This window comes from Homo sapiens, chromosome 6, assembly GCF_000001405.40.
Source record: "Homo sapiens chromosome 6, GRCh38.p14 Primary Assembly".
NCBI classification, from domain to species: domain Eukaryota; kingdom Metazoa; phylum Chordata; class Mammalia; order Primates; family Hominidae; genus Homo; species Homo sapiens.
In genome coordinates, this window is record NC_000006.12 from 13,797,973 (window position 1) to 13,813,386 (window position 15,414).

The following is a 15,414-nucleotide window of genomic DNA, read 5'->3' on the forward strand; positions in this document are numbered from 1 at the left end:
ACACGGTGCCACTGCACTCCGGCCTCGGCAACACACTGAGACTCTGTCTCAAAAAAAACAAAAATAGAAAACAAAACAAAATACCCTCACAACTTCTCACTGCACTTAAAAGACAACATAGAAATTTTCTTTTTTTTTTTGAGATGGAGTTTTGCTCTTGTCACCCAGGCTAGAGAGCAGTGGCACAATCTCAGCTCACTGCAACCTCTGCCTCCTGGGTTCAAGCGATTCTCCTGCCTCAGCCTCCCGAGTAGCTGGGATTACAGGTGCCCGCCACCATGCCCGGCTTATTTTTTGTATTTTTAGTACAGACAGGGTTTCACCATGTTGGGCAGGCACGCTGCCTCGAACTCCTGACCTTAGGTGATCTGCCCATCTTGGCCTCCCAAAGTAGTGGGATTACAGGCGTGAGCTACCGCGCCCGGCCAGAAATGTTTTAATCTTGAATTCCAGTATATAATTTAATATTATTTAATGTTAATAATTTACTATTATTCAAGCCTGAAATAATCAACTTAACTTTTACAAGATCAAGACCTATGAAGATTTAAGTCAGTATTAAATAGATCAAGATTGCATTTAATTTCTTTATGAATCTCTATGTAACATATCTCTAATATTTCTGAAACAAATATTCAAACTGACTAATTTGACTAGGAGTTTAATTTTAATGTTACTTTTGAAAGCAACAAATTTAAGTCTTAATCCAAAATTATTATAATAGAGAAAATACAGCCTAACACTGATAAACAGATAAATATTTAACAGTACCTATGACATGTACATAAACTTAGGCTTAACCAAGCATTCCATTCCAAAAATAAATTAATTCATAATGTGTTTTTAGTAAAGGAACGTACCAATTCTTTTACTCTGCTCTTTTCTAGGTTGAAGTCTAATTTGGTATCTGTTCGGACTTTGATCACTTCATCCTAAAAGGAGGGCAAACAACAAAGAAGGAAAAATCCAAAGTAAGAAACCCAAACTCTATGAGGACGTGACACTGGGACCACTGCCCCCACTGTCCCTATCCTAGGCGAGGCAACCCAGGGAGGGAGAGAGCCAGGGGCTTCCAGAGAAATGGACCTAGGCCTCCTGGCATCAGGGAACTCTGGCCAAGCCACATCTGGAGGCAGCCTGTCCCAGGACTTCCCAGTTAGACACAAATAACCCCCTTCTATGCTTATGCCAGTCTAGAGTGGGTTGTTGCTGCCATTTTTTTTTTTTTTTTGAGATGGAGTCTCACTCTGTCAACCAGGCTGGAGTGCAATGGGGTGATCTCTGCTCACGCAACTTCTGCCTCCTGCGTTCAAGCAATTCTCCTGTACCAGCCTCCTGAGTAGCTGGGATTATAGGTGCATGCCACCACGTCTGGCTAATTTTTGTATGTTTAGTAGAGATGGGGTTTCACCATGTTGGTCAGGCTGGTGTTGAACTCCTGACCTTGTGATCTACCCACCTCAGCCTCCCAAAGTGCTGGGAGTACTGGCGTGAGCCATCGCGCCCGGCCTGTTGCTGCTTTTAACCTCAAGACTCCTCATACAATCTCCGAATGGAACTTATGAATAAAGCTGATCTTAAACAACTTTGGAAAGCAAAGATGGACTCAAAGCAGCAAAATATTAAAATCCAGTTTACATAGAGCCTTTTCTCTGATACATATCAAAGCCTTTTTTTCTTTAACATCTATGTTTTTTCTATTTAAAAAACATTAAATAGCTGGCACAGTAAGCATTTAAAAATCACGTGTGATTCTCTAAAGACAGTCTAAGAGAATTTAAGGGTTCCTTCCGTGCAGCACTTTAGAAAAACTTTTACTTAAAAATGACTTAATTCCTCCTAGAACACAATTTTCTTTTTTTTTTTTTTTTTTTTTTTGAGACAGTTTCGTTCTTGTTACCACGGCTGGAGTGCAATGGCGCAATCTCGGCTCACTGCAACCTCTGCTTCCTGGGTTCAAGTGATTCTCCTGCCTCAGTCTCCCAAGTAGCTGGGATTACAGGCACCTGCCACCATGCCCACTTAATTTTTGTATTTTTAGTAGAGACAGGGTTTCACTATGTTGGCCAAGCTGGTCTGAACTCCTGACCTCAGGTGATCCACCCACCTCGGCCTCCCAAAGTGCTGGGATTACAGGCATGAGCCACCATGCCTGGCCACAATTTTCTTAATGAATATGGTTACAGACAACAGTAATTCATTCATTGGCTGTGTTCTTAGCTAAATCTTCCAATGTGTACTTTTGAGGCATATTACACAAACATTTCACAAAGAATTAAGTTTTTAAAAACATCCATTTCTAATATTATACTTATTAATAAGTTTATATAATTACAAACCAGCCAACAAACAGGAAAGTGAATCTTACCATTACTTGTTGTTTTAACTGATGTAGTTCGAGTTTTATTTTCTAAAAACACATAAAAAAAAAGTCATTAGAAAGAACAACATAAAACGTAGTAACCAACAAATATTACAATACATATTTATGCACAAGTTCCTCAGGTTTTTCCTTCATTCAGAACACCGTATTGATTGCAGAATGGCATTACAACACACGTATCTTGAAATCAGTTTGAATTCATCTTGAAGGCTATGTAAAGTTAACTCAGTTGTGTTTGGCATACACATTTGCCTTCAGTGACCCTGCTTTATTTAGTATCTCCTTCGGTTTATCTTTTAACTAATCCTACCCTCAAATAACTGATTTCAAGAACAACCTAGAGAGTCTGAAACTTTACCACTTTACTTTTTGCTAGAAGGTTTCTTACAAGGCTAGGGTCAACAGGCAATAAATGGCCTTCCCTATTATGGGACTTTAAATAGGACCGAAAATAAAAGGAAAATGCATAGACAGCACTTATTTAAATGCTGATCCCATATGCTCTGTTTAAAGAAACACAAGAGATATTTCGCAGTAGCAATTATTCAAAATAACCAAAAACTGGAAACAATTCTAATACACATTACAATAAAATGATGGGGCCTATTGATGTTAAGACTATAGACAATGAAAAAAATGATCTCTTGCTACAAGACACACAGTATGATACCATCAAATGGTTCTAGAATAGGCGAAACTAGTTAATGGTGTTATCAGCCAGGACAGCGTTTCCTCTGGGGCAGGAGCAACTGAGAGGCATGAGAGAGACTTCTGGGACAGTGGGCAAGTTTTCCTGCTCGATCTGACTGGAAGTGCACACTGTTTGAAAATTCACTGAGATGTACACTTAACGTGTGCTCTTTTATGTGTATATAATTTATCTCAATGTCTTAATATAATCAACTTTCTAAGTGTGAGAGGCTCTGTTTTACCTCATTTTCTGCTCTGAGGGCTGAAAATTCACTCTTCTCCAAAATAATCATATCCTTTTTCACATTCGCAATCTGAGACATTACTTGCTGAAAAGTGATTTCCTAGGAAAAGAAAAACAAAACACATAATCTAGTCTACCCTAAAAAGTCCACTTCCTATCATCTCAATGTGCTATCTTCTTATTGAGAAACCAGGACAATGTGGACACAAAAAGAGGTTCAGTAGGGTCATCCTTTATTCCAAAAGGGGAAAAGGAAAAGAAAAAAACAACACATATCTGGCCAGGCAAGGTGGCTCACACCTGTAATCCCAATACCTGGGGAGGCCAAGGCAGGTGGATCACTTGAGCCAAGGAGTTCGAGACCAGCTTAAGCAACATGGTGAAACCCCATCTCTACCAAAAGTACAAAAATTAGCCAGCTGTAGCAGTGCACGGCTGTAGTCCCAGCTACTTGGGAGGCTGATGTGGGAGGATCACTTGAACCCAGGAGGTCAACGAGGCTGCAGTGAGCTGAGACTGCACCACTGCACTCCAGCCTGGGCAAATGAGTGATACCCTGTCTCAAAAAGACCCCCCCAAAACACAAAAAAACAAAAACCACATATCTGGTTATTGTTACCAAGTGAATCACAGCTAAAAGGGTGGTGATGTGAAGACTCGAGAACATGATGCTATAATACTACAATTCAGGCCACGTCTCCATTTATTAAAGTATATTTCACTGGAATAATTTTGAACAGTGAGCTTTCAAGCATAACGATTCTACAACTGTTGACTAAATAGTTCTGAGTAAGTATTTTTTATGCCACTGTAATCTTTTGCCTCTTAATCATGGTAAAAGTTACTATATACTTTTCAACGGGGTATTATCCAAAAAATTATATTAAAACATTACTACAAATAATACCCCATCTTCACAGTCCTAATTTGCTAAACCACCCAACAAGGCTAACCTGCTGCATCTTGGTGACCATATCTTTGTAGACGATGTCCATGTTGGCCTCCAGGATCTTGACCAATGCAGACACAATGATTTCTGCTTGTTGAGTAGCAAACCCTAAGCAAGCACACAAGCAAAAAAAATCATGCTCAGAGTTACAAAAGCCCACAGCAAATGCACACATTCATGTGAATGTCCAAATCCAGGAGGAAGAGTACAGCACAGTGTGGTAGGAGGCAGGGAGGAGGGTACAGCCACAAACTATGACGTGCCGGTCACTCAGAGCAAGCACGAAACATACAAGTTGGCTTCCCCAGGTACCGGTGGCTTTGCTGACTGATCTGTAAGTCGTTCCTAGCTATCAAAAGTCATGTTTTCAGAGACTATTTAATGACATAGACAATGCCGGCAAGTCAACATCAAGTGAAAAAAGGCAAGACTCAAAATTACAGATGCAATTCTTGTTTTTATAATTTAACAAAAATTCATAGTCATTTTTATTTTCTTCTTTATGTTTCTCTGCATTATGTAGATTTTCTACGGTGGACAATATTTCTTTAATTTTATAATGTGTACATTATTAAAAAATAATTTCCTTAAATAGGAAAGCTCAGTTGTTTTATGTCCAGCATAAGGCAGTCAAATCATTGACTATATAAATAGTAATCTAGCTGTTGGCTAACTTCATGTTAAAAGACAAAATCAGTTCTTTCATTTTTCCTCCACAATTCTCTTCAGTAACTAGTCTGGGGGACCCAAAGTAGAAAAAATATGTTCTTTGGTAGTCAATAAATGATACTGAATTGAATGATAGAGATTCAATGCAGTACTTGGTATTTTTTTTTTTTTGAGACAGAGTTTCGCTCTTGTTGCCCAGGCTGGAGTGCAATGGCGCGATCTCAGCTCACAGCAACCTCCACCTCCCGGGTTCAAGCCATTCTCCTGCCTCAGACTCCGGAGTAGCTGGAATTACAGGCATGCGCCACCATGCCCAGCTAATTTTGTATTTTCAGTAGAGATGAAGTTTCTCCGTGTTGGTCAGGCTGTTCTCGAACTCCCGACCTCAGGTGATCTGCCCGCCTTGGCCTCCCAACGTGCTGGGATTACAGGCGCAAGCCACCACGCCTGGCCAGTACTTGGTATTGTTTTTAAAAACATTGGATAGTAACTCCTATTTAACATAAATTCTAATTAAATGCTTAAAACTGAGTGCCTGGGAAATAGTTCTATTAAATGCTTCCAGCTATAAGAATTTCAGAAGAATCTATTGATTCCTGTAATTAATTGTGTATTTCTTGGAATAAAGTAGTACTTAATTAATGGAATTTGTGTGGCTGAGATGAAGCATGGGACTATAATGAACAAAAAAACCAAAGACACAGATTTAAAGGAGAAGGAAAAAAACCTCCAAAGACCTATTCCCATCACTTTCGTCAAAATTCTTTAATTTTTCAACATGTTATACACATGTCTAGAAAAAAAATACAAAAGGTTACTCACCAAAATGTTAACATTGTTTAGCTCTGACTCTGTTTTCTTTTTTCTCGTCTGTCTTCCTAGTTTTTAAAAACTCAAACTAAACTTTTGCCAAATTTTAAAGTTTTATTAAGAAGAGTTCACTGGCTGGGTGTGGTGGCTCACGCCTGTAATCCTAACACTCTGGGAGACCAAGGCGGGAGGATCTTTGAGCCCAGGAGTTCAGAACCAGCATGGGCAACATAGTGATCCCATCTCCATTTTAATGTAAATAAAATTTTAAAAAATTTTAATTAAAAAAAGAGTTCATGTTTAAACATAATTAGGTTTGGCAACTGGACACAGTGGTTCACGCCTGTAATCCCAGCACTTTAGGAGGCCAAGGTGGGTGGATCACTTGAGGTCAGCAGTTTGAGACCAGCCTGGCCAACATGGTGAAACCCCGTCTCTAGTAAAAATACAGAAAAATTATCCAGGTGTGGTGGTGCATGCCTGTAATCCCAGCTACTCAGGAGGATGAGGTGGGAGGATCGCTTGAAACCGGGAGGTGGGGGTTGCAGTAGGCCAAGACTGTGCCACTGCACTCCAGCCTGGATGAAAGAGTGAGATTCTGTCTCAAAAAAAAAAAAAAAAAAAAAAAAAAGAAAAAAATTAGGTTTGGCAATGATGAGGAAAAGAAAAATAAAGGTAGAAAGAGAACTTATGTTGATTGTAAAACAAACTCTAAAGCCATATACTTTATAACCACTTGTGGGAGGAGAAAGGGATATGAAAAAGTAGAAGTCTTGGCCGGGCGCGGTGGCTCACGCCTGTAATCCCAGCACTTTGGGAGGCCGAGGCGGGCGGATCACGAGGTCAGGAGATCGAGACCATCCTGGCTAACACAGTGAAACCCCGTCTCTACTAAAAATACAAAAAATTAGCCAGGCGTTGTGGCAGGCGCCTGTAGTCCCAGCTACTTGTAGTCTTAGGTACTCGGAAGCCTGAGGCAGGAGAATGGCATGAACCCGGGAGGTGGAGCTTGCAGTGAGCCGAGATTGTGCCACTGTACTCCAGCCTGGAAGACAGAGCCAGACTCTGTCTCCAAAAAAAAAAAAAAAAAAAAAAAAGTGGAAGTCTGAAAACCTACTGAGTTATGAGGCAGAAATTAATTTTTTGTAGACACGAGGGAATAGGACAGAACCAGGGTGAGATGACAGGCATATGAGAAATTTTGTTAACCTGAAGACACAGGTCTGGATAAAGAAAGGGTAGAATATGCCTTGAAAAGTCCTTCCTGGCCTCCTACTCAGCCAGTCATCTCAGACACCCCCAACTCATCCATGTTGGATTGAACAGCCCCTCCATACCACGTACTGCAGTGTGGCCCTCACACCACAGTCTTGAAAGATGCAAATAACCATGGGTTAAGGTTTAAAATCAAGAAAACTAGGAAGACTTCTGCTTATCAATTTTTTTTTTTTTTTGGTAGAGTCAGGCTCTCACTATGTTGCACAGACTGGTCTTGAACTCCTGGGTTCAAGCCATCCTCCCACCTCAGCCTCCTGAAGTGCTGGGATTACAGGCATGAGCCACCTCGCCTGGCCTTATCAGCATAACTTTACATGCTCCCTTCTCGCTTCTACTTTTCTCTTTTAAATTCTGTACTGAAAGAAGTTTTGGCGAAAAAAGCCTACTGTTTGACAGGAAAAGTTGTGAAAATTATTACACAGCATATGACAGTTTTTCCAAAGTTCATTCATGCGTATTATCTTGTTTAATATTCAAAAAGGTCTTTGGAATTCGTATTACACTCATACTATAGATGGGCAAATAAATGGAAACTGAGAAGGGGAAAAAAGCTTCCTAAGCTAGGCAACTAGAAGTCTGCAGGGTTAGGCTCGAGCCCAGAGCTGCTGTCTCCCACAAAGCACAGAATAATTCATTCCGTCACTTTGTCTTAGGCATGTAAAGTACCTCTACAGAGAGTAGCTTTTCTGACACAAACATGTACAACTGGACAAATAACTACACAATGAAGTAAAAGCACAGGCAAATTTATTTCACAAGCATAATTTACACTATTTTGAAATTCTGATTTTTGAGAATGTGTCACCATATAGAGAATTATAATCGGTGTATTTGTCTAAATATGATTTAGTATGAGAATGTTCCCTACATTCTAAGTCTAAAGTGCATTTTCAATGAATGCCATATATACCAGAACAATCTTTTATCTTAACAGCAATAACGAAGAATGTTAGCCTGAGTATTAAAAAGAAAAAAGAGGGCTGGGCGCGGTGGCTCACTCCTGTAATCCCAGCACTTTAGGAGGCTGAGGCGGGCAGATCACAAGGTCAGGAGTTCGAGACCAGCCTGGCCAACATGGTGAAACCCCATCTCTATGAAAAACACAAAAATTAGCTGGGCGTGGAGGCTCGTGCCTATAATCTCAGCTACTCAGGAGGCTGAGGCAGGAGAATCGCTTGAACCCGAGGTGGAGGTTGCAGTGAGCCGAGATCGCGCCATTGCACTCCAGCCTGGGTGACAGGGCGAGACTCCATCTCAAAAAAAAAGAAAGAAAAAGAAAAAAGAAAAAAGAACAGTAAGTTGAAATTATCAAGAACTGCTACTCAGCAACATTTCAATTTCACAGGATTTTAAAAAGCACACAAGATGCACAGTAATAAAACTATCACTTCTGTGCTTCAGACACTGTTGTCATAGGAATCATTCCTCAGCTTTGCTGACTTGTGTCTAAATTTTTACCTATAACACTGTACTTCCATGGTGATGTTACAGAAATACACTTCACTTGGACAAAGAGACAATGTGTGAGAAAAGTCTCCATTCTATTGATGAAGCAAAAATGTCCTCCAGCAAAAAATGAGGACTTAAAAAAATGGAGATTAATTAAAAGATTGCCCATAGGCCTAAAAGTCAAAGAGATACAAAAATCAGCCAGACATGGTGGTGTGTGCCTGTAGTCCCAGCTACTCGGGAGGCTGAGGTGGGAGGATGGCTTGAGCCTGGGAGGCAGGTTACAGTGAACCAAGACTGCGCCACTGCAATCCAGCCTGGGTGACAGAGCCAGAGCCTGTCTCTAAATAAATTAATTAATTAAACACAAATAAAAAATAGAAGTCAAAGAGGAACATGAGAAATTAAATGAAACCATAAGAGAAGTCATAATTTAAAGTGTTTTTCTAAGGCACTAAATGACGAATGACAGAGGATTACCATTGTCTTCCAGTAAGCACACTAAGGCATGAGTGTCGAAGTAGAGTTTCCTGCTCCCAGAAGAGGTGAAATCTCTCCTTTTGCGCTCCAGCTGCAGGGATCCAGCAGACAAGCTTAGCTCTAGGGTGGAAAGGACAGTAAGCTCAAAACAGACTTCATGCAAAACAAAAGCAACTCAGCACCCAGAGAAAATAAGGCATACCCCAAAGCCTTCGTGGTACTTTATAACAGCTTCGTTGAGATATACAATTCACCCAATTTCAAGCATACAGTTCAATAGGTTTTGGCATAGAGTTGTGCTACCATCCCACAATCAAATTTAGAATACTTTCATCACTGTCAAGACAAATTGTACCCCTTAGCTGTCACCTTCCAATTCCCCCAGCCCTTCTCAACTGCCCCCAACCATACCCAGGACAAGCACTGGTCTATTTGCTGTCTCTTTTGTTTACCTACTCTGAAGATTTCATAGAAATGGAATCATATAATATATATAGTCTTTTGTGACTGGCTTCTTTCACTTAGCATGTTTTCAAGGGTCATCCGTGTTGTAGCACGTCAGTACTTTTATTTCTTTGTATTGCTGAATACTCCTCCATTGTATAGCTACAGTAAATTTTGTGTATCCATTTACTAGTTGAAGGATGCTTGAGCTGTTTCTACTTCTTAGCGATTACGAATTACATGGACGTTGTTTTCAATGATCTTCAGAATATACTTAGGAGTAGAATTGCTGGATCATATGATAACTCCATGTTTGTTTTAGCAACTGCCAGACTGTTTTCCAAAGCAGCTATACCATTTTACACTCCTTCTAGCAGCGCACGAGGGTCTCAATTTCTCCACATCCTCACCAACCCTTGCTATTATCTGGGTTTTTAAAAAATTATAGTCATCCTATTGGGCGTAAAGTGGTATCTCACTGTGGTTTTAATCAGCATTTCCCTGATGACTAATGATGCTGAGCATTTTTTATGGGCTTGTTGGCCATTTGGATATCTTCTTTGGAGAAATGTGTATTCAAGTCAGCTATGGTTTGAACGTGTTTCCCAAAGTTTATGTGTTGAAAACTTAATCCCCAAAGCAACAGTGTTGAGAGGTGGGTCCTTTAAGGGATGATGACTAGGCTATCAGGAGGGCTCTGTTCATGAATGGATTAATGCTGCTATCCTGGGGGTAGGTTTCTGATAAAAGAATGAGTTTGCCACCCCTTCCCCGACACGTGTGCTGTTCTGCCTTCTGCCATGTTATGAAGCAGCACGAAGGGCCTGACCAGATGTGGTCCCCTCAATCTTGAACTTCCTAGCCTCCAGAATTGCAAGAAATGTGTCTCTTTTCTTTATAAAGTACCAGTCTGTGGTATCTCCTTATAGCAGCACAAAACAGACTAAGGCAAAGTCCTTTGCCCATTTTTAATAGGGTTGTCTTTCTATTACTGAGCTGTAAGAGTTCTTCATATATTCTAGATACAAGCTCCTTATCTGATTATGATTTGAAAATATTTTCTCCCATTCTGTCGGTTGTCTTTTCACTTTTCGATACTGTCTTTTGAAGCACAGAAGTTTACTTTTGATGAAGTCCAATTGATCTGTTTTTTCTTTTGTTGCCTGTGCTTTTTTCTTTTGTTGCTTGTGCTTTTGATAACATACCTAAGAAACCACTAGGTAATCCAAGTACATGAAAATTTACACCCATGTCTTCTAAGAGTTTTATAGTTTTAGCTCTTACATTGAGGTCTTTTCCTCATTTTGGATTAGTGTTTTAAATGGTGTGTGGTAGTGGGTTCAGCTTCATTCTTCTCCATGTAGATATCTAGTTGTCCCAGCACCATTCCCTCCACTGAAATGTCTTGTCACTCTTGTTGAAAATCAGTGGGCTGTAAGCATGAGGCCTTGTGTCTGGGCTCTCCATTCTAATGCATTGATCTATGTGTTTGTCCTTACGCCAGTGCCACACTTTCTTGATTACTTTTAAGTTTGTTTTAAGTTTGACATCAGAAAGTGTTTTTTTTGTTGTTGCTCTTGACGTTTTTTTAAGACAGGGTCTCGCTCTATTGCCCAGGATGGAATGCAGTGGTGCAAGCATAGCTCACTACAGACTCGACCTCAGCCTCCCAAGGTGTGGGTTATAAACTCTGTTGTTTGCCAAGATTGTTTAGCTATTCTTGTTTTCTTGTATTTCCCTATGAATTTTAGGATCTGTGTGTCAATTTCTACAAGAAAACCACTTGGGATTTTGATAGGGATGTGTTACATTTGTAGATCAGTTTGAAAAGTACTGCCACCTTAATATTAAGTATTCAGATCAATGAACATGGATGTCTTTCCATTTATTTAGGAACATTATACTTTAAAGTACATTATACTTTAAGTACATTGTACTTTTTATAAGTTGCTGGATTTGGCTTGCTAGTATTTTGTTAAGGATTTTCTCATCTTTAATCATAAGAGATATCGGTCAATAGCATTCTTTTCTTGTAATGTCTTTGCAAAAGCCTATCTTTAGAGAGCTATGTTCTAACAATTTTTACATTACCTTTTCTATAAGTTTTTGTGCATTTAGCCACAGATCCAATCCATTCTGTAAACTTCTTGTTTCAAGGTACTCATCTGAGGGAGGTGGTATAGTATATGGTACAGTTGGCTTTTGGATTTTATGAACTGCTAAAATCTTTTTTTTTTTAATTGGGTCAGGTGAACTAGTTCATGGTTGTAATTCCAATACTTTGAGAGGCCAAGGTGGGAAGATCACTTGAGGCCAGGTATTCGAGACCAACCTGGGCAACACTGCAAGACCTCCTCTCAAAAAAAAAAAAAAAAATTAGCCGAGTGTGGTGGTGTGTGCCTGTATTCCCAGCTACTCCCAGCTACTTGGGAGGCTGAGGCAGGAGGATGGCTTGAGCCCAGGAGTTTGAGGCTGCAGTGAGCTATGATTGCACCACTGCACTCCAGCCTGGGTGACAAAGCAAGATCCTGTATCGAAAAAAAAAATATTTAAAGGCCGGGCGTGGTGGCTCACGCCTGTAATCCCAGCACTTTGGGAGGCCGAGGCAGATGGATCATGAGGTCAGGCATTCACGATCAGCCTGGCCAAGATGGTGAAACCCCGTATCTACTAAAAATACAAAAATTAGCCATGCGTGGTGGCAGGCACCTGTAATCCCAGCTACTCGGGAGGCTGAGGCAAGAGAATTGCTTGAACCTGGGAGGCGGAGGTTGCAGTGAGCCAAGATCGCACCACTGCACTACAGCCTAGGTGACACAGCGAGACTTCATCTCAAAAAAAAAAATTAATTAAAAATAAATAAACAATATTTGAGTTGCCAATTTTTAATTGTGTCATGAAAGAACTTTTAAATATAGCTGCTTACTACTACTATTAAATATTGTACTAAAAAAGACATTATGACACCAAAAGAAAAAAAAAGATGAACAATCAAAAGAACTTCCATTTAATCAACTTAGTATATGAAAATCTTGCTACATATTTGTCATTACTTTTCTAATTTTGCCGTTAACTGGCACCAGTCTGAGGTCTGGTGTTGTAGAAGTCTGGTAGGAGCAAGAAGGGTCACCTGCCAACTCAAAGGTCAAAGGTTTCCCCAGCAGGCCTCTGAATGACCAGAAAGATGCTCCAGCTGATCAGCTTCCACTCTCAGTCCTTCACCCCGATTACCCTATAATGAAATCGAGAGTAAACAAAACAAAAAAATGGACTGAACCCTACAAATGTGACGCTTTGCTGCAGCCTATGGGAGTTGTTCCCAGCCTACTCACAGCTTGGGAAGGGGAGGGTAGCTGTGGTCACTGTAAGCATCCAGATGAGTGCAAGAGATGCAATAATCCATATCTGTATCAAGAACCATTTGCAGACTGACACAATATAAAGTGCAATGACTTATGTGTGTTTGTGTTTGTTGGTAAAACTGGGCCCTGAGATTCAAAGAACCACTGTGCTATGACAGGAGGTCCTTGACCTGGCATACAAAGCCCTTGCTATTTATGACCACGCTTATCCTTTCAGCTTTCTTTCTAGCAACCTAAGCTATTCTATTTCCTGCAATTGCATGCTTAAGCATGGCTTGCTCCCCTTTCCCAATCGTTAAACTTTAAGCATTCTTTTTACCCTTCTTCATTAAATTGCCAATTTACTGAGTATACATTATGTTCCAGGTGTGGCATTTTCTTTTTTACACTTTATGGTTCTCTCTGCTTCCTCCACCCAGCTAAGGGAGCAACCTTTATTGAGCCCATACCTGTGTTCTCAGCTCAGTACAGATAGCTCATCGTAGCACTTACTACATTATTTCCTCATCTGTATCATCTATTTGTCCAAGCTGCCCAGGAGCAGCCAGTCTTGCTCATTTTTTATCTTTAGCATCTGGCAAGGGGCCTGGCATACAGCAGGCTAGGAATAATTTTTTTTTTTTGGTAATTGAACTGTAATGACTTCTACAATCTGGATTATGAAACTGTCTAGAGGGAAAATTTGAGATGAATTCCTTTCTCCTCAGTTCTTCCCTTTTCACATAAACGAGCTCACTTAAATCTGGTACCTCTTTTTTAGTTTATTTCCAGTCCTGAGACTAAAACTGGCCTCCATGAGAAGAGACCCAGGATGTCTGCCCAACACAGAAGAGACCTAGCCTGAGAAACAGTGGGAGTGAAGGAATGAAAGCACTTCTCCAGGGGACCTCCTAAGGACCACCTCACCTGCCCCAGAACTCTACTGGACTGCCCCATGTGTCAGGGAGCTCGAAAACACCTGAGTCTGGAATGACTTGTGAAGAGTGACAGGGTTACTCTAGACCTAAATTCCTTGTTTCTAGTAAGAAAATAATCATTCATGTATTTAAAACATAACCTCCTCACCCCCACCCCCACATAAACAAAACAATCACATGACTACTTTGTAACGCCAATTTGGATACTACAGTTTTTTTGTTATTGTTGTTCTTTTTCAAAAAGATTGGAACCAGAAACAGCAAGCTTATTTCCAAGAAATCCTGCCTCTGAAAGGTCGACAGAAGGGCTGGCCACTTTCCATTGGTCACTCCAACCCCTGATGAGGGAAGGAAATGCCCTCTTGGCCTTCTGTCAAAGGGCAGTACCTGAGGACACCGCCAACTCCCAGACTCCTCACTGATCATAAGGAAGCGAGCCAACTGAGCTGTGTCAACGTGTAACATGCAATTCCCCTTTCTGGGGACCTTCAGCATATCAAGAGAATATTAAAAACCCACAATTACAATAGAGGCCCAAAGGTAGCCTTGGACAGGATGAGGAAACCAAATACAAACTTCCTACTCATGACATCCTTAAGTAGCTCAACCGAGAACCTCAGGCACCAAGCAAACAAATGGTTGGGAAACGCTCATTGGCTGGTTAATGGGCATACATGCTTCCTTAACTGTGTCTCTGCTCTCTTCTGTTTTTATGCATCCATACTCATTTTTTATGATGACTGAAGAATGAGATAGCTGACACTAAAACAACAGTACCACCTTACCGATTGGTCAGCAAATCCGTGAGAAAGAACACTCTCTTTTTGCCCTATACTCTTGCATTGAGAGAAAAACAAATTGGAAATTACTAGCTTGTCAGAAAAAGCGCAACAAAAGGCAAAATACAGAATAAAGACCAAACTCATCTCCGACTCCTAATTACTGAAGGACAGTGACACCGAGTTCACTACTCATTCCCCACTCTCTGTATATAAAGTTTCCTTCACTTTATTGCTCTACTAATCAGTTTTTACCCCAGCCAATGATATTCTTAAATTATAGATATGGTCAACATTTAGTGGGCCTATCTGTTGAAGAAAATATGAAAAATGTGTAGTTAGTGATGGCTACTAATGAATATGTATAGACTGCCCAAAGTGATAATTTTGCCAAGTCTGTTGATTATCAGAAATGATTTTTTTCTTTAATCAACAATATGCTATCTAATAAATTGATTCTATTTACTTTCCTCATCTCCAGGGCAGTGATCTCTCTCACCTCCTTTAAATAGTCATGAGCCCCACAACTACCTTTCAGCCCAGGACAGAGGGGCACACACGACAGTGGTCTATGAGACTATAATACATATTTTTACTCTACCTTTTCTACATTTAGATGCGCAAATACCATTGTGTTCAGATTGCCTCTAGTATTCAGTACGGTAACATGCTGTTCAGGTTTGTAGCCTAGGAGCACTAGCCTCTACCTGATAGTCTAGGTGTGTAGTAGGCTGTAGCATCCAGGTTTGTGTAAGCACACTCTACAATATTCACACAAGGAAGAAGTCGCCTAATGACTCATTTCTCAGTAGGCGACTGTCCTGAAGAGATGCATGACTCTAATTAAATGCTACCTTCTCAATGAAATCGATTCTGATCACCCTATTTAAATTCACAACTGGAGACCCATTCCACTTCCCAAGCCTTATCCTATTTTTCTATACCAGGCATCGAATTACG

At 40.4% G+C, this 15,414-nt stretch overlaps 1 protein-coding gene across 4 annotated transcripts in view; it reads right to left on the minus strand.

Moving 5' to 3' along the window:
- The window catches only part of MCUR1 (mitochondrial calcium uniporter regulator 1), a 28,001-nt gene that overhangs the window by 11,416 nt on the left and 1,171 nt on the right, over nt 1-15,414 (minus strand). For all 4 annotated transcript variants that reach the window (XR_007059329.1, NM_001031713.4, XM_047419249.1 and 1 more), the window contains exons 2-6: nt 8,953-9,072; nt 4,271-4,374; nt 3,316-3,417; nt 2,369-2,410; nt 861-932 (exon numbers count right to left, since the gene is read on the minus strand). Coding sequence is in view for 3 of the 4 variants with exons in the window: in NM_001031713.4 (NP_001026883.1) it covers nt 861-932; nt 2,369-2,410; nt 3,316-3,417; nt 4,271-4,374; nt 8,953-9,072 (440 nt within the window). In the remaining variant the exon portion in view is untranslated. The remainder of the gene's footprint in view (nt 1-860; nt 933-2,368; nt 2,411-3,315; nt 3,418-4,270; nt 4,375-8,952; nt 9,073-15,414) is intronic.